Genomic DNA, 15,602 nt, shown 5'->3' on the forward strand with positions numbered 1-15,602 from the left:
CCGGGGTGAGGTGAGGGTGGAGGCTGGGGGAGGTCACCTCCAAATCGCCAACTTCCGAGCCTTTGCTCCAGGCAAACGGCCTTCCTACATCCCTTCCAGGTATCAACCTACAGCTCCTGCGCACCTACTATGTGCCCATTTCCACAACAGGTCATGAGCACCTAATATGTGTTCATTAGACCAAAACATGAGCATCCATTACGAGTCCACACCTACTATGTGTGCATTCACCCACAACGTCCTGAGCACCTACTATGTGTGCATTCTCTTAAAATGCAATGAGCATCGATTGTGTGTCCACATAACCCATGAGCACCTGCTATGTGTCCATCTGGGCACCAGCCCATGAGCACCTACTATGTGTGCATTCTCTTAAAATGCAATGAGCATCGATTGTGTGTCCACATAACCCATGAGCACCTGCTATGTGTCCATCTGGGCACCAGCCCAGGAGCACCTACTATGTGCCAAGCCTTGTGCCTGCCATGGATGCCTTGTGATCAAGAGCCACGTGCTTCGGGCTCTGGCGGGGACCGCAGCATCAAATGCACGAATGAAGACGGACTTAAAACCAGCGTCAGATGCCTCACCTCTAGGGGATGCTGATTCTGGGATGCCTTTTTCGTCTCCTAGGCTCCTCAAGGCCAACTGCGCTGGGAAGAGGGGGTGTCCAACAGCAGGAGGGCTGTTTTTTTGAACTACAATTTGCCAGCATACAGCAGAGCAGCAAGAAGATAACAGGGCGGGGGGCACGGGATTAGCCCAAACAAAACACACTCAAGAACGCGAGTCTGTGGTTCAACACGAGGCAGAAAACAGCTGGGCCGGGTGCGGGGCTTCTCCCTCGCGTGTATCCGCTCACTGCACTCGCTGCCCTGGCCGCGGGCGCCGCGCAGGGTGCTGATGTCCAGGAGGGATCTAGACCTCCCGCGGCGCTCGGGCTAGTGGACGCAGGTGGTCCCAAATGCTGGGACCAAGCTAGGAACCAAGCGGAAGCTCGGATTGCTCGGCATCGGGCCTCGTCGTTATTCTACCGTGAGGGAAACTGAGACCGAGGGCACGGCAGGGAGTCGCCCGCCGTCTCACCAGCGTGAGGGGTTGCGCCGGGCCCCGAAAACTGGTTTGCGCCGCCCGGCATCGGGATCCGGGACCTCTGCCCGCCGGGCGCTGCCTGCGCGTTCCTGGAACTGGGCTGGGCGGAGAAATCAGGGCCCGCAGAGAGGCATTCCTGCCGCCTTCCCCGCCGCCCGGGGCCGCAGGGGGGCCTGGCCAAGGTGACCCCGCGGGAGGAGGCGAGGGGTCCCCGCCCGCTCCGCCGCCGCGACCTCCTCCATCTTCCCGGTCTGCGGGGCTTTTCCTCTGGGCCCGCGCGCCCGGCCCCCTCCTCGGGCTTCCCCGAGGGCGGGACGTCTCGGGCTCCCCCGCCCCCCCAGGCCACCTCCCGGCCGTGTCCTAGCGCTGCCCTCGGGCCGGGGGCGGGGCCGCGGGGGGGGGGTGGCGTGAGGATGGGGCCGAGGAGGACGCGCGCGGCTCGGCGCCCCACTTCCCTCCCTCACCCCTCCCTCCCGGTGCCCGCTCCCCGCGGCCGCGCCGCCCTCCCTTCCCCCTCCCTCGGCCCAGCGCCGGCTCCCGCCGCCCCCTCCCCCGACGCGCACGCCCCGCCTGGCAGCTGGCGCCCCGGGCCTGGGGCCGCAGCGGTGAGAGGGGTTTTGCTGGGAGGGAGGGAGCGAGCGAGCGAGGGGAGGGGTGGAGGCCGCCCCCCGCGCCCCTCCTCCTCGCCCTCCTCCGCGGCCGGCGGGCCCTCCTCCCGCCGCCTCCCTCCTCCCTCCTCCCGCCCGCCCGCCCTCCCTCTAAGACATCCCCGCACGGCCCGGCCGCCGCGGCCACCTTCCCTGCCCGAGCTGCAGATGTGGCGGAGCGGCCGGGCGCCGGGCGGCCGTGCCAGGGGAGCCCGCGCCCCGTGAGGCCTCGCGCCCCGGCCCCCGCCCGTCCCGGCCCCTCCCCCGCTCGGCTCCCCGCGCCCCCCGACCGCCGGAGCCCGCAGCCCGGATCCCGACCGCCCCCGCCGCTGAGGTAGGAAGCCCCCCGGGCGTCGCGCCGTGGGGACCGGGCCGGGGCGGGGGGGGGGGGGCCCGCCTGTCGCGCCGGGGCTGCGGGGCCCGAGGGTCTCCTCCCCCGCTCGCGTCCGCGCCCCGGGCCATTGTGAGCCCTCGCCGAGGCCCCCGCGTTCGCTCGCTCGCTGGCTCGCGCGCTCCCTCCCTCGCCGGCTCCCCGGCCGGGTCCCTCGAGCTCTCGGTCTTTCTTCTCCCTCCTTCCTTCCCTCCGTCTGGAGGCCGGGCCGAGCAGCGCCCGGGCCCGGGGCGGGCGCAAACTTCAGCTGGGAAGTTGGGCGGCCGCGGTGGGGGGCGTGCGGCGAGGTGAGAGGGGGGTACCCGGAGCCTGGGCATGAAGTTGTCCGGGGCAGCCGCCCCTCCTCTCGGCCGCGCCGGGGCTGCTGCTAGGAAGGGCTTTGGAAGGTGCCTCCTCCCTTGGCCGGGAGAGTCTCCCTCCTGCTGCCCCTCGCAAGCCCGGGTCCTTCCTTGGACCTCGGGAAGGGGCGTCCCTGGGGGGTCAGGACTGGGAGTTTGGGACAAGTCAGGCACTTGTTACTCCCCTGCGGTCCGGGTGGACGCAGGCGACCGGCCTGGCAGGGAGGAGATGGCAAGGGGTCCATACTCGCCGGAGGGCGGGTCTGGAGCGGGTGGAGGAGGGGGCGAGGCAGGTGCATCCCGAGGGAGGAGAAGCACGCACAGCTTCCCCGCTGGCCCCCTGGGATGGGGCTGGAATCCAGGCTGGCACCTGGAGGCCTTGGCATGCTGCCCTGCCCAGCAGGGTACTCGGGCCACAGCAGGGCAGCGTGCAGCCTGTCTGCCTGTCCAGGAGGGCCCGCCCAGCCTGGCCAGAGGGTGGCCGGGAAGCAATGGTTTCAAGGAGTTGCCCAGCCCTGCCCTGGGGCCTGGGAAGCTGGAAGGGATGCTGGGAGGGGCCCTGGGCCCCCAGCCATCACAGCCCAGGATCTTGGCTCTGGAGGGAACGCTTGACACTGAGGGGGCAGCCAGGCCGGCTGGGGACCTGGCCAAGGCCTGGGCTTGGTCTGGGCCATGGAAAGGGCCTGGGCCATGGTTCTTGGAGGCTGGCACCCTGGGTAGTAGGCCGCCATCCTGCGTGTCCTGGCATCCTGGAGGGAAGGTGGGGCCAGCCTGCGGCTGGGGAGGAAGCCCAGAGACACTGCGCTTCGGAGGGCCTTCCAGCCCCCGGGCTCAGGGGAGGGGAAACTGGCCCCTTGGGTCACCCCTCCCCAAGCCCCATTCTGGTGCCACAGTGCCACAGCTGTCCAGGCCCAGCCCACACACCCATCCCGGGTGACCTCGGACCTCCCCCTCTGCTTCTCCTTCTCCCCAGAGCCCAGGCTGGGCCTCCTAGCTGGCCTGGCCTGCACAGGGGGAGGGGCTGCACCTGGGAGGCCCCTCCCAGGACACCCTTTGCCAAGCTCCAGCCTGGCCCATTTCACTGCCCACCTCCAGCTCAACTTGGCCCTGTCTGCAGCCAGCCAAGCAGGAGACAGTGCCAGGGACTTGGGATGGTGTTTTGGGGGGTGTGCGGACCCCTTGGAAGCAACCCTGTTTTTCTTAGCCTTTCCTCCTCCCCCTCCTTTCCGGAGCTGCCATTAGCGCTGACCCCCTGTGCCTGCCCGCCCTTCCCTGTCTGTGACCTTTGACCTTTGGTGTTAAATCCCTCCAGCTGGGGCTCTTCGGCCCCTGAGTGACCCTGGCCCAGGCCCCCTGGGGAGTTCTCTCCTTGCTCCTGGCTCTCTACACAGGGACACCTGCCAGTCCCTCCCTCACCAATGGGGAGGGGGTGCCCTGGGAAGCCAGACAGTGAGTCACCCCACTTCCAGGCACCGCTGCTTTTGGGGTCAGTGGCTTCTGGGGATTGGCTGGAGCCCAGTCACAGCTTGGAGGGTGACCGGGGAAAGCCCCTGGCCTGGGAGTCTCCTGCCCTGGGTTCAAGTCTTGGCTCCACCACCAACTTCCAGTGGTCCTTGGGTCAGACTCCTCCCCTCTCCCGGCCTTGTCTATGAAACCAAGGGGTCAGACCAGGTGAGCTCCCAGAGTCCATGAGAAGCCTGGGTGGAGGGGGGTCAGGGGGAGGAAAGAGGGTGTAAATCCAGCAAAAGCCAACTCTCAATTATCCGAGGGTGGAGCCCGGATGAATAACTGGATGCCACAGACATCCCAAAACCTCATTGCAAACAATCGTGTGAACCGCGTCCCCCCAAAGCTTTTGTTTCTGAGAAACCCAGCTGCAACTGGGTAGCCACAGCGATTTCTTCCCCCGCCTGAACTCCCCTTGCAGGGAGGACAAGTAGAGGGCTGAGAGTGAACAGGCCGGAGGGAAAACAAAGGTCTCCCAGGGCCCCTTCTTGGGGCCTGGAGGGAGGCCTGGACCCCATTTCCAAGGCCCCCACTCTCCCCTCCACCCTCCTTCCCGGCCTGGCCTTGGCCCCGGGCGGTGGGAGTGTCCTCTCACCACCTAATCCTCTCAGGGTCTGGGCAGCCATATAGGAGGAAGAATGTGTTTTCCCGGCAACAATTTCCCATGTGTATTTCTAGCCACCCGCTCCACTCGCCTGGAATCTGAATTCCCCACTTGGACCAGGGGGTGAGGGCCAGTGCCGGCCAGGGTTTGGGGCAATCTCTGGATGAGGGAGGGTGGCGACAGCTGTGACTGGGGGACCAGATGTGGAGCTCTTGTGGGGCATCTTGGGGGGGCTCCTGGGGAGGCACTTTTGTGGGTCGCCTGGCCTGACCCCCAGCCCCAGAGGCTGCCTCCGAAGGTTCCTGCCTCTAAGGGGAGGCCCAGGGGTCTCTGGCACCTAAGGAGGAAATTGATTCCATGGGAGAGGCCCTGTGCTGGGTGGAATTGGGGCGGGGGTGGCTGCAGAGAAAAGTGTCCCCTGAATCCCTTCCTCTCCTCATGGCTATAATTGTTACTTTATTTCACAGCAGGTGACTGAGACCACAGGGGAACCCCGGAAGGTCCTGGGTGGTCTTCCCCTCACCCAGATAAATGCCCTTCTCAGGGGTAGGGGGCATCCCCAGCTTGGCGGGGCTGTGTATTGAGCAGTAAGAGACCCTCTCCCTGCTGGCTAGGGGATCTGTGGGACCAGCTGAAAGATGCTCTCCACCCTCTGCCTAAGTTGCCTCCCTTCCCAGGGGCTATGAAAGGGTCCACAGAGATGGGTTGAGGCCCTGATGTGTATCTGGGGGTTCACGTCTCTGGGAACTTGCGCCCTGCCCCAGCCTGCTGCCAGCCCTGGGTGTGGGGACCACAGCCCTAGCGAGTCTCCCGGGCCACATCTGCCTCTCAGTGGTTTCTGAGGTGGCCGCCTCCGCCCCACCCTGGTGAATTCTAAGTCAGGCGTGGCTGGGGGCGGGGACTCCGCGCTTCCAACAAGCACCTCTAGTACTCTGCTGGGGGGCCAGCGTGGGGGCACTGCTTTGATCCCAGGGACTGGAGAGGGATCATGGTGATGATGGTGGCAGGGTCTGCAGGGCACAGCCTGGAGGAGACCCAGGTTTCTCTCCTGGCTCCGGCTTAGCCCCTGGGTGAGGCTGGGCAGGCACGGAGGCCGGGTACTCGCCTTCCACTCCCCCACTCCCCCAGATGGGCTGGAGGATTCTGGTTAGCTGGTGGCCAGGCTAAGTGGGCCTGGGGGGCATGGAGATGGGAAGTGATTCCAGCTGAGGGGTGGGGGCTTCCCATCTGCCCCAGCAGCCCCTGCTGGGGGATGGGTGGGGGCTGAGACTCTTCCAGTTCGATGGCTGGGGGGCGGGTGACTTGGGCTCCTCGTGCCCTTTGTCTTCGGTGCTTGAGAGGCCAGGTAGTGCCCACCGCAGGGAGGGGCCGGCCTGTGAGTGTCACATGTGCGTGCACACGGACTCCAGCCTTGGCAGATGGCTGCCGGGGAAGGGACGGAGACCCAGCCCTGGCCCCTTCCTCCAGTCATGGCCAAGGGCGGGTGGGAAGCCAGCAGAGGCCCCAGGAGACCGCTGAGTGGACTGAGTCAGCCCCCGGCCGGGAGCCTCCGGAAAACAGTCCTGCCCGTCACATGGAGGGTCCCCACCGCTGGCACAGCACGCTCCCAGGGCAGCCTCGCTTGGACCCTGGTAGTCAAGAGGTCGTCGGAGGCCGGTGGGGGGAAACTGAGGCTCTGAGACATTTGAGGGTTTGGCCCGAGGTCACTCCCAATCGGGGAAGAACAGAGGGGAACTGGAGTCTGGGGCTGTCTGGCCCTGACCCCTGAAATGTCGGTTTAGCCTGGGAATCCCCCCAGCTCCACTCCTGCCCCCCACGTCCACTGCAAGGGCATGACGGGGGCCAACGTGTCTGGAAGAAGCCTCTCCCCTTCCCTGCATCGTCTGCCTGGGGCTGTCTAGCAAGTCCCGGCCTGCCTGGGCCAGTTCTCCCCTGGGCCACTCCCACCTTCATCCAGAGCCCCCATTCCCCACCCCAACTTCCAGGCAGACCGACTCTGAGCTGGGATGTCCCCTCCCCGCAAGGCTGTAGGGGCCTCCATTGTCCTCCCTATTCTGAAGTCCCCCCAACCCTGTGCTGGTGCTCGTCTCCCTGCCAGCCCCGGCCTCCCCCAGCACCCCCCGGAGCACCTAGTGGTCACCCTGCTTGGTTCTAGGGCCACTGGGCCCCGAGGGCCTGGAGCCACCAGGCCTGGCAGATCCTGCCAGTGGGTGTTCCCCTTTGGAAGGAAAAGGACCTCGATGGCTTTGGAGGCTGTCCCCGGCTTCTGGACTTGCTTTCTTCCAGAGTAGGCGAGCAGAGAGGGGCGGGTGGCTGAGGAGGAGGGCATGGGCTGGAGTCCTGTGTGTGCGGTGCCCTGCTGGGCCTGCTCTTGCCCAGCTATCTGGGGCTGGGGGCCAGGGCTGGGAGGGCGTGGCAGGAGATGGAGCTGGGGGGGATCTGGGCCCTTCCCACCATCCCAGCTGGCCAGGGTGGTTCCTAGGGGCCACCACACCCTTGTCCAGCTCTGTTCCTGGGTCCCTTGCCTGGGACAGGGAGAAAGAGGCATCTATGTCAGGAGACCAGCCCCTGCTTCTAGCCTTGACCTTGGGCAAGTCACATTCCTCTTTGGGCACGAACCCCTCCATACCTACCCCTCCCCTCCTCACTTGGGGGTAAAGGCGGGAATGTCTGTCGAGTGAATGAATACATGAATGAGACGGACTCATTCGCGGAGTGCCAGGTGTTGGGATATGTGAAGGGCAGGTACCACTGTGCCACCTAAGATGAGTGGTTGGGGTTGTTGGAGCTTCGGCTGTCCTCTCAGCAGGCCCCCTCCTGTGGATGGGGAAACCCAGGCCTAGTTTTCTCATTCTGGGTTCCCTGCCTCACTGCCCAGTTCACTCTGGTGGATGGGGTGGGCTCCGTGCCAGGGGCCGTGGGAACTGGGGCAGGGGTCTGCTGGTGAGGCCTTCTCTTCAGTAGCCACAGCGGGTTTGGAGCTGCCCGGCGTCCCAGACATGTCCCGGCCCACTCCCAGGCTCCCTTCTTGGAAGGAGGCTCTGGATACCAGGGCCAGTGGGAGGCCTGGGGCTGAAGGTCGGCGCTGTGTACACCACGCTGTGCACAGGTGACACTGGCTTCAGTGATGCATTGGCAAGGACTTGGACCCGGGACAGCCTGCCTCCAGCGGGGGTGGACAGAGGCAAGTCTTTGCCCAGCAGGCCCTCAGGTACCTGGACCCACAGCCTGTGTGCAGCTCCAGAAACCGAGGCTGGGGAGGGTGAACCAGGGAGCACTTGGTGGAGGAGGGGGCAGAAGGGGATGGTGGCTGGAGGAAAGAGAACAGGGGGGCATGGATGGTGGTGAGGGAGGAGCTGGCACCTGGGAGCATCAGGTTCCCAGGGGGCAGGGGATCCTGAGGAAGGGGGGTGCCAAAGGAGAGGGCCTGGGGCAGGAGGCTCTGGGCTGAGAGAGCAGGTGGCACTCTTCTGTGTAGAGCCCTCTGTGGCTCCCCAGTGCCCTCTAGGTTCTGTCCCAGCCTCTCTGAGGGGCCTCTTTCTCTCCTGCCTCCTCGTCTACTCCATGACTGGTAGGGTCACTGCAGATCAGCCGGGCCATAGCCTCTGGTCCTCTGTGGCACTGGGCTTTGGGGTCTGCTGGCGAACCCAGCTGTGCCCCTTGCTGGCTGTGACAGTGGCAGGTTTCCCCACATGGAAAATGGGGAAAATGGCATCCATTCGCGGGGTCATCAGGGTGATGGACTGTGTGCAGCAGGCATGCTGACCGGGCGCCGACCCGCAGGGCTCCCACCTCCCCAAGGCTCTTCACCCCATATCCATGAGGCTGACCCGGATCTGTGCCCAACCCCCTGCAGGAGCAGCCCCCCCCCTACACTGTTTCTCCCACCCCACCTTGGTCGGGGCACCCTCAAGGTCCGGTTCGATCTAGCAGGGCCTGGCGTTGGAATGCATGAATGCGTGGTTGGAGAACCGAGGCAGGAGGGCAGGCCAAGGTCCACCGCCCGCCTTACCCACTCCTGCTCTCGGAGTTGGCGGGTGCCGTTCCCAGTGGACCTGGTACCTGGCCCCAGGCAGGGGAGGCGTGGGCCACGGGCCTGCCCCGACCCCCCAGGACTTAGGAGCTCCTTGTGGGATCTGCCTGCAGCCAGGCGTGGCTTGGGAGGCGCGGTGTTTCCTTCGCTCTGGGGACCCGGCCTCATCCCTGCTCTCCCCCAGAAGCCAAGGCTCCTGAGTCCTGGCCCCGACACTGGGGCAAGGGGTTACTGTGATGTCCTGTGTGTGCCACATTTGTGCACAGGTGTCTGTACATCCGGGGGTGCTGTGGGTGCCTGCTCATGTCCTGTGCTACACTGGCCCATCCCTTTGCTGGCCTCAGATAGCTCTGGCTGGGTCTGCTGAGAATGGCAGTGCCGCCTGGCAGGGCCTGGGCTGTCTGTGCCCCAGCCTTGCTGGGCGTGCATCCCTGTCTCGCTCCCTGGTGCCAGCCCCTCCCAGGGATTTGGGTGGCAGGGCCCAGTGCTCTGGTCCCCTCCCCTCCCAGCCCGGGTGGGTGGGCAGGTGTGGGGGCTGCGGGGCGGGCTTTCCTCTGGCTGGGGCCCAGGTGCAGGCGGTGATCATAGCTCCAAGCACCCCCCCAAAGCTGGGCAGACAGGAAAATACCAGACATAGTTGTGCAAAGGTGCAGCAGCGGGCAGGCAGCGGGGGGGTGGAGGCCACTGCAGCAGGGGCCCGGAGCCACCAGGATGGGGAGGCCTCTGTGCCAGGCCGGCCCTGCAGCTGGACTGCCATGGCCATCTGTGTGAGTGTGCGTGTGTGTGCCGGGGCTCCCGGAGCCCGGTGTCACCCTCCCTGCTGGCGTTGGAGAAGGAAGTGCCTCTGGTGGGGCATCTCCTAGGAAGCCCGGGCTGGTGCAGGCCAGGGAAGCCCTCCGGCCCGTCTTCCAGCTTCAGCTCTGCCTGAATTATCTGGGTGACCTTGGCAGGCCCAAGTTGCTGTGCAGGGAACCCCCAGCCTGGGGCCGGAAACAAGAATCCTTTAGGTTACCAGTAGCTGGCAGCTTCTTTATGGCAGGCATGAGGACAAGGCCCTCCCTTGCAAGATGCCCTGAGTCCCAGGGACCATTGCCGTGGTGTCTGTTACCTACAAGGAAACCAAGGCTCAGAGACAGCAGGGCCTTTCTGAGTTCCCACAGCCAGGGGTGGCACAGGGGGCTGTAACCAGGCAGCCTGGCCCTGGGGCACACTCTGTGAACACGCAGAAAAAAGATCCCTGGCACATCCCATCTTCAGGTGCTTTCCCGAGGACCCCACGGCAGAGGGCAGAGGTCAGCCCTGGCTGGGTCACCTCGGACCCCTTGTGTTCCCACCCCGGGAGGGGGTCTGCCCTCCCAAAAGGTCCGGGGGTGCTGGCTGAGTGCCCCGTCTTGGGAGGGGGAGGGGCTGCCTACTGAGCCAAAGGTTCCCAGGGACGGTGAATCCCCCACTCTTCCAGGAAGTGCCGCCTGCCCTGGCCCCTCTCCTGGGATCTGCTGGGCCAGGCCTCAGGATAAGCTCCTCCCCCTCCAGTCCTGGGAGGAGGCCTGTCTGCGGCCAGCTCCTTCCAGGGTTGATCAGGCCTTCCCGGGGCCTTGTAGTGCTCTTTCTTTGATGCAGTTGGGCTCTGGAAGGTGGTTAGGGCCAGCTGTGGTCACTCCCCAGGATTGAAGAGGCCTGAGGTTCTTTGAGGGGCATAGGCTTGTTTAGGGTGCACGCTGGCTGGCAGGTGGCAGAGCCCAGGTTCTCCTGGTTCAGGGTGAGACTGCAGTGGCATAGAGGGGATGGCCAGTCCCCACTCAGCTGCCCTCACAGCGGTAGATGGGCCAAAGGCTATGGACTCATGCACACTGGCGACGATTCATTCAGCACGTTTTATTAAGCACCTACTATGTGCCAGGCACTGTTCTCCGTGCTGAACGTTACGGACGAAGGAGAAGCACTCAATAGTGATTGGATGTGCAGCACTGCATTGGTTTCTCCCTGAAACCCAACATGGGGGTCCTATATAATCCCATTTGGGATGAGGGGGATGAGGCGCAGACTGAAGAGACACGCAAAGGGAGTAGCAGAGCCGGGTGGGGCCCCAGATTTCGAGTCCGGTTCTGTTGCCTGGTCAGGAAGGGGGGCCCTGAGAGGACGAGCCCTCCTGCCTGGGGCCCCCAGCAGGCCCTGCCCCTGCCCGCCAGCCCCTGCTGCTGGGCGGCCAAGGAGGGTGGAGCTCTTGGCCAGAGCAGGGAGCCGCAGCTGGTTCCCAGGAATCTGGGGCTGTGGGGCCGTTTGCTTTGGCAGCAGATCTGCCCTCGGCTCTCCAAGCCTCCTGGTGGGCCCCCCACCCCAGCCAGCCCCTCCAGCGCCCACCCACTGCCTGCTCTGCTATCCCTCCTAGCCCCACAAGTCCCTGGGCGGGGAGGGGGTACCAAGCCTGAGCCCCTGACATAGGAAGGGCCAATAGTGAACATGGCTTCTGGACTTACCTGGGGTTGAAACCCAGCTCTGCCACGGACAAGCTGTGGGACCTTGGATGGGTCACTTCACTCCCCTGAGCCTCAGTTTTTGCATCTGTAAAATGGGGATGAAACAGCACCTGCCTTCACAGTACCCGCACCTGGCTATGGGTACTGTCCTCATGCTGCTTGCCCGTGGCTTCTGGTTGTGGGTTTGCCACCTACTTGTGCAGCCTGGGCTGGATGCCTCCCCCTTCAGCCCTCAGTTTCCCCATCTGTAAGACCATACTGCTGAAGTGATGGTTCCAGTAATAGACTCAGGGACACCCACAGACCAGGGTTTCTCTGACTGGTTCAGGAGTGACCAGGGACTCACTTCCTCTTTCTGTTAAATTAGAAGATGACGGGCTGGGCGTGGTGGCTCCTGCCTGTAATCCTAGCACTTTGGGAGGCAGAGACAGGAGGATGGCTTGAGTCCAGGAGATCGAGACCAGCCTGGATGACACAGGGAGACCCCCCCATCTCTGCAAAATAAAAAATTTAAAAATGAGCTGGGTGTGGTGGTGGTGCACCTGTGGTCCTAGCTGCTCTGCAGGCTGAGGCAGGAGGATCTCTTGAGCCTCGGCGGCAGTTAGCCATGACCACGCCACTGCAGTCCAGCCTGGGAGACAGAGCAAGACTCTGTGTCTTAAAAAAAAAAAAAAAAAAAAAAAAAAAGGCCAGACTTGGTGGCTCACGCCTGTAATCCCAGCACTTTGGGAGGCCGAGGTGGGCGGATCACGAGGTCAGGATATCGAGACCATCCTGGCTAACACGGTGAAACCCTATCTCTACTAAAAAAATACACACAAAAAAATTAGCCGGGTGTGGTGGTGGGCGCCTGTAGTCCCAGCAACTCAGGAGGCTGAGGCAGGAGAATGCTGTGAACCTGGGAGGCGGAGCTTGCAGTGAGCTGAGATCGTGCCACTGCACTCCAGCCTGGGTGACAGAGTGAGACTCCATCTCAAAAAAGAAACAAACAAAAAAAACAAAGGTGACCACATAGACTTCTGAGAGATGCATCTTGAGGCCTTGTCTCCAAGTTCTCAGCTAAATGGCCACTGCTGACCAAAAGCGCACTCGCAGGACACTCCAAGGCAAGGGGTGTTCCTCACATTGCCCTTGACAACACTGCCACGCTGGTCACTCACCTGACCCCATGCTGCTGGGAGCGGGGCAGGGATGCAGCCCCATCTTACAGAGGACCCGCTTCCTTCTGCAAAGAGACCAAGTGGTTCTCAGGGTGGGTGCACACAGCCCCCCAGTGCACCCTGCACCTCCACAGGCTTAGGGCCTGCCAGCCACCCTCCCCCAAGCAGGAAAGGAGGAGCTTTTTTTGTTGTTTTTTGAGACAGGCCGGAGTGCAGTGGTGTGATCTCGGCTTACTGCAGCCTCAAACTCCCCAGGCTCAGGCGATCCTCCCACCTCAGCCTCCCGAGTAGCTGGGACCACAGGTCCCTGCTTCCACGCCCAGCTATTTTTTTTTTTTTTTTTTTTTCCGAGATGGAGTCTCACTCCGTCGCCCAGGCTGGAGTGCAGTGGCGCGATCTCAGCTCACTGCAACTTCTGCCTCCCTGGTTCAAGCGATTCTCCTGCCTCAGCCTCCCGGGTAGCTGGAATTACAGACACCTGCCACCACGCCCGGCTAATTTTCGTATTTTTAGTAGAGAGAGCGTTTCGCCATGTTGGCCAGGCTGGTCTGGAACTCCTGACCTCAGGTGGTCCGCCCTCGGCCTCCCAAAGTGCTGGGATTACAGGCATGAGCCACCGTGCCCGGCCACCGGCTGATTTTTTTACTTCAAACGGGATTTTTCCATGTTGCCCAGGCTGGTGTAGAACTCCTGCACTCAAGGGATTCTCCTGCCTCGGCCTCCCAATGTGCTGGGCTTACAGGCGTCAGCCACCGCGCCTGGCCTAGAAGGAGCTTTATTCAGAGCAGGACTCCAACCAGCTCCCTATTAGCCTAGTGATCTCAAGCCTCAGTTTCCCCATCTGTGAGATCGGGAAAATGACAGCAGCTACTGCCAGGCAGGGTTGTAGAGGGGTCATTGAATCCATGGACAGATGGGCCTGACACGTGGTCAGTACCTAATGGTCCTTTACCCCCTCTGGTGTATGACCCACCCCAGGCCAAGGGGCCCTGGAAGAGACTGTCTTTTCCGGGCCTTAGTTTCCCTGAGTGTGCTGGGTCGCCCCGTGCCTTCCAGTAGGGAGGGTGGGGACAGTGGCCGGCCCCGCCTGCCAGGGCGGGATCCTTGGCTACCTGGCCTGGCCGGGGACTGCGGGCGGGGGGCCGGGTGGCTCCGCCAGCGCTGCAGCTGGGGGCCGTCTGCTCGGGCTGCGGTCGGGCACACAATAGCAGCCATTGTCTCGGCCAGGGTGGCGGGGGGCCCGCCCAGCCCACCCTCCGGGTGACCCCCGCCCTGCGGTGGGTGGGAAGGGCAGGGCCCGGTCCCCCGAAGCCCCCGCCGTCCCGGTGGTCCCCGCGGCCGCCCCCGCGCGCTTCCTCCCTCGCCGCAGCCGCTTCCTCCCGCTCGCCCCGCTCTAATTAGTTCCTTTTGCAGCTGGAGGAGCCGCGCAGCGGCCGGTTCCGCGGCCACCCCCACCCCCCACCGACAACCCCAGCCCTCGCCCCAACCCCTGGGCCCTTGCGTGTGGGGGCGCTGCCCTGGGCGCATCCCAGGCTGAGTGCTCGAGAGACGCGGCCCTGGGCTCTGTGCACCCTCCACGCTGCGCTGTCCCACCGGGGGGAAACTGAGGAACGGAAGGCTCCACCAGGAGGCGCAGAGGGGCGTGGGGCCGGCGGGCCTTGCGCTGCGCCCGGGGAGCATCCACGGGGTGCCCCCACCTGACCGAGAGCCGGCTCCTGCCCTCGGGACCCCGCAGTAATTAGCACCCAGGCCTCTGGCTGAGCTTGTCCAGAGCCAGGCTGTCGGCCTTACGCTGGGGAGAGCCACGGCCACCCGCTCATGGGCACTCACTCAGGGTTCCCTGGTTGCAGGCCCGCTGCTCCCCGCTCTGGGCCTCCGAGGCTTTCAGGAGAGCAGGAACCTAGCTCTCGCCTGCCCCCTTCACCCAGCCGGGAACAAAAGCACAGAGCAGAGCCCAGAACTGGCTGCTGCCGGTCGGGGCGGGGGTGGAAGGGGAGGCTTTAAGCCTGGCCAAGGTCAGAACTGAAGCAGGGTCACTGACCGTCTCCCCTCTGGGGTGGGGCCTCCATTGGAGGAAAAACTCTGGGTGGGGAGGGCCTGGAACAGGGATGCTGGGAGGTGTAGGGCTGGGGGCAGCTCCTTCCTTTCCCGGGGGCAGGGACGCAGGCCGTGTGCCGGGCTCTGGCCTGCATTGGAATGAACCCCTGCCTCCCTGGCAGGACCCAGTGGCAGGAAGTGTGTGGGGGTGCCCCTGGGGACTGGACCTGCTGATGAAGGGGGTGCATTGGAGTCCTCCCTCTGGCTTTGGGCCGTGTGGCTGGCCCCACCTGGGGAGACAGGCTCCTCCTGGGGAAGTGTCCCCTGCAGGCCCTAAGAACAAGGTGACTCAGGGCCCCTGGCTCCCCGAGTCCCCATCTGTCCTGGGAAGGCAGTGGGGCAGGTGCCAAAGGATGTTGCTTGGGCAGCGCTGCCAGTGAGTGTCCCCGTCAGCTGGAATTCCCAGTTCCCAAACCATCCTGCCCTTGTGGTCCCCTTCTCCGGAAGGGTGGGGGTGGGGGTGAGGACAGAGGCTGTGGGGAGGCCTGTGGCCCCAGGCCAGCCAAGGGACCAGGCCACCAGCCCTTCCTGGCTCCTGAATTCTTCATCAGCATAAATATTTACTTCCTTCCTCCCCGTCCAGGCTTCCAGCACAGAGGAGCTTCGGGGAGGCTGGATTGCGCCTGTGTCTAAAAATAAACAGGTAGCAGGACGATAGACACACAGATAGACAGATGGAACTGGCAGGGGTTCAGGCAGAGGGCAACTCCCTGTCCAGCCAGAGAAACAGTGGAGGGGACCCTGGTCCATCCATCACTGTCACCCACCCACCTGCTAGCGGGGGTGTGGTCCCTACCCCACCGCATCTCTGGGAGCCCCTGGCCCATGCATGGCCTGGGAGGCAAATTCAAACAATCTGACAGCTCCAACAGGGGCGAATCGCAGACCTAGGTCCCACGGCCTAGTGCAGCTGCCCTGGCTCTGATGATGCAGCCTTGGGAGAGGTGGGCAGCCCCCCTGTGCTGAGACCCCCGTGTCAGCCATGTTGGGGTGGGGTCTGGGGATGTGTCCCTAGAAGCAGAGGATCTCCAGTGAAGGGGGGACCATTTTATGCCCTACTTGCTTGGAGAGTCAGGGCAGAAGGGGAGGACGTGGGAGCTGCCTTCCTGTCCTGCCCTGTGGACAGCATCTCTCCCCACTCACAGGCTATGCTAGCCCCCAGGGAAACACACGGGGGCATATCCAAAGTATTTCACCATGTAGTAGTTATGTCCACCATGGCCGCCCTTTGGTATTGAGTAAAGACCCCAATACCGC

At 63.9% G+C, this 15,602-nt stretch overlaps 1 protein-coding gene and 1 long non-coding RNA gene across 3 annotated transcripts in view, besides 9 other annotated features; one reads left to right on the forward strand and one right to left on the reverse strand.

Annotated features, from left to right (window-relative positions):
• Positions 1-513: an enhancer, noted in NCBI's record as "H3K27ac-H3K4me1 hESC enhancer chr16:4364183-4364695 (GRCh37/hg19 assembly coordinates)". NCBI's record gives its function as "activates a minimal SCP1, AML or CMV promoter by ChIP-STARR-seq in primed H9 embryonic stem cells {active_cell/tissue: H9 hESC(primed)}" and the evidence as "EXISTENCE:reporter gene assay evidence [ECO:0000049][PMID:30033119]".
• Positions 1-1,026: a biological region, named in NCBI's record as "H3K27ac-H3K4me1 hESC enhancers GRCh37_chr16:4364183-4364695 and GRCh37_chr16:4364696-4365208".
• Positions 427-721: a silencer, noted in NCBI's record as "tiled region #8077; HepG2 Repressive non-DNase unmatched - State 4:PromP, and K562 Repressive DNase unmatched - State 4:PromP". NCBI's record gives its function as "represses a minimal TATA promoter and a strong SV40 promoter by Sharpr-MPRA in HepG2 and K562 cells {active_cell/tissue: HepG2 | K562}" and the evidence as "EXISTENCE:reporter gene assay evidence [ECO:0000049][PMID:27701403]".
• Positions 514-1,026: an enhancer, noted in NCBI's record as "H3K27ac-H3K4me1 hESC enhancer chr16:4364696-4365208 (GRCh37/hg19 assembly coordinates)". NCBI's record gives its function as "activates a minimal SCP1, AML or CMV promoter by ChIP-STARR-seq in primed H9 embryonic stem cells {active_cell/tissue: H9 hESC(primed)}" and the evidence as "EXISTENCE:reporter gene assay evidence [ECO:0000049][PMID:30033119]".
• Positions 580-15,602, forward strand: part of GLIS2 (GLIS family zinc finger 2) — a 24,835-nt gene continuing 9,812 nt past the window's right edge. Inside the window, exons 1-2 of one of the 2 annotated variants that reach the window (NM_001318918.2) lie at positions 580-1,274; positions 14,929-14,988. The gene's annotated coding sequence lies outside the window, so the exon portion shown is untranslated. Of the gene's footprint in view, positions 1,275-1,885; positions 2,074-14,928; positions 14,989-15,602 lie in introns of those variants that run through there. The other variant, NM_032575.3, reaches the window with a different exon arrangement.
• Positions 3,148-3,798: an enhancer, noted in NCBI's record as "H3K27ac-H3K4me1 hESC enhancer chr16:4367330-4367980 (GRCh37/hg19 assembly coordinates)". NCBI's record gives its function as "activates a minimal SCP1, AML or CMV promoter by ChIP-STARR-seq in naive H9 embryonic stem cells {active_cell/tissue: H9 hESC(naive)}" and the evidence as "EXISTENCE:reporter gene assay evidence [ECO:0000049][PMID:30033119]".
• Positions 3,799-4,448: an enhancer, noted in NCBI's record as "H3K4me1 hESC enhancer chr16:4367981-4368630 (GRCh37/hg19 assembly coordinates)". NCBI's record gives its function as "activates a minimal SCP1, AML or CMV promoter by ChIP-STARR-seq in naive H9 embryonic stem cells {active_cell/tissue: H9 hESC(naive)}" and the evidence as "EXISTENCE:reporter gene assay evidence [ECO:0000049][PMID:30033119]".
• Positions 8,212-8,997: an enhancer, noted in NCBI's record as "H3K27ac-H3K4me1 hESC enhancer chr16:4372394-4373179 (GRCh37/hg19 assembly coordinates)". NCBI's record gives its function as "activates a minimal SCP1, AML or CMV promoter by ChIP-STARR-seq in primed H9 embryonic stem cells {active_cell/tissue: H9 hESC(primed)}" and the evidence as "EXISTENCE:reporter gene assay evidence [ECO:0000049][PMID:30033119]".
• On the reverse strand, positions 10,467-14,159 carry GLIS2-AS1 (GLIS2 antisense RNA 1). Its single transcript, NR_110901.1, has 4 exons — positions 14,079-14,159; positions 12,249-12,313; positions 11,089-11,173; positions 10,467-10,594 (listed from the first exon to the last, which is right to left on the reverse strand). It is a non-coding gene; the product is annotated as a GLIS2 antisense RNA 1 (long non-coding RNA).
• Positions 10,569-11,353: an enhancer, noted in NCBI's record as "H3K4me1 hESC enhancer chr16:4374751-4375535 (GRCh37/hg19 assembly coordinates)". NCBI's record gives its function as "activates a minimal SCP1, AML or CMV promoter by ChIP-STARR-seq in primed H9 embryonic stem cells {active_cell/tissue: H9 hESC(primed)}" and the evidence as "EXISTENCE:reporter gene assay evidence [ECO:0000049][PMID:30033119]".
• Positions 14,387-15,387: an enhancer, noted in NCBI's record as "H3K27ac-H3K4me1 hESC enhancer chr16:4378569-4379569 (GRCh37/hg19 assembly coordinates)". NCBI's record gives its function as "activates a minimal SCP1, AML or CMV promoter by ChIP-STARR-seq in naive H9 embryonic stem cells {active_cell/tissue: H9 hESC(naive)}" and the evidence as "EXISTENCE:reporter gene assay evidence [ECO:0000049][PMID:30033119]".

This window comes from Homo sapiens, chromosome 16 (assembly GCF_000001405.40).
Source record: "Homo sapiens chromosome 16, GRCh38.p14 Primary Assembly".
In the NCBI taxonomy this organism is placed as follows: domain Eukaryota; kingdom Metazoa; phylum Chordata; class Mammalia; order Primates; family Hominidae; genus Homo; species Homo sapiens.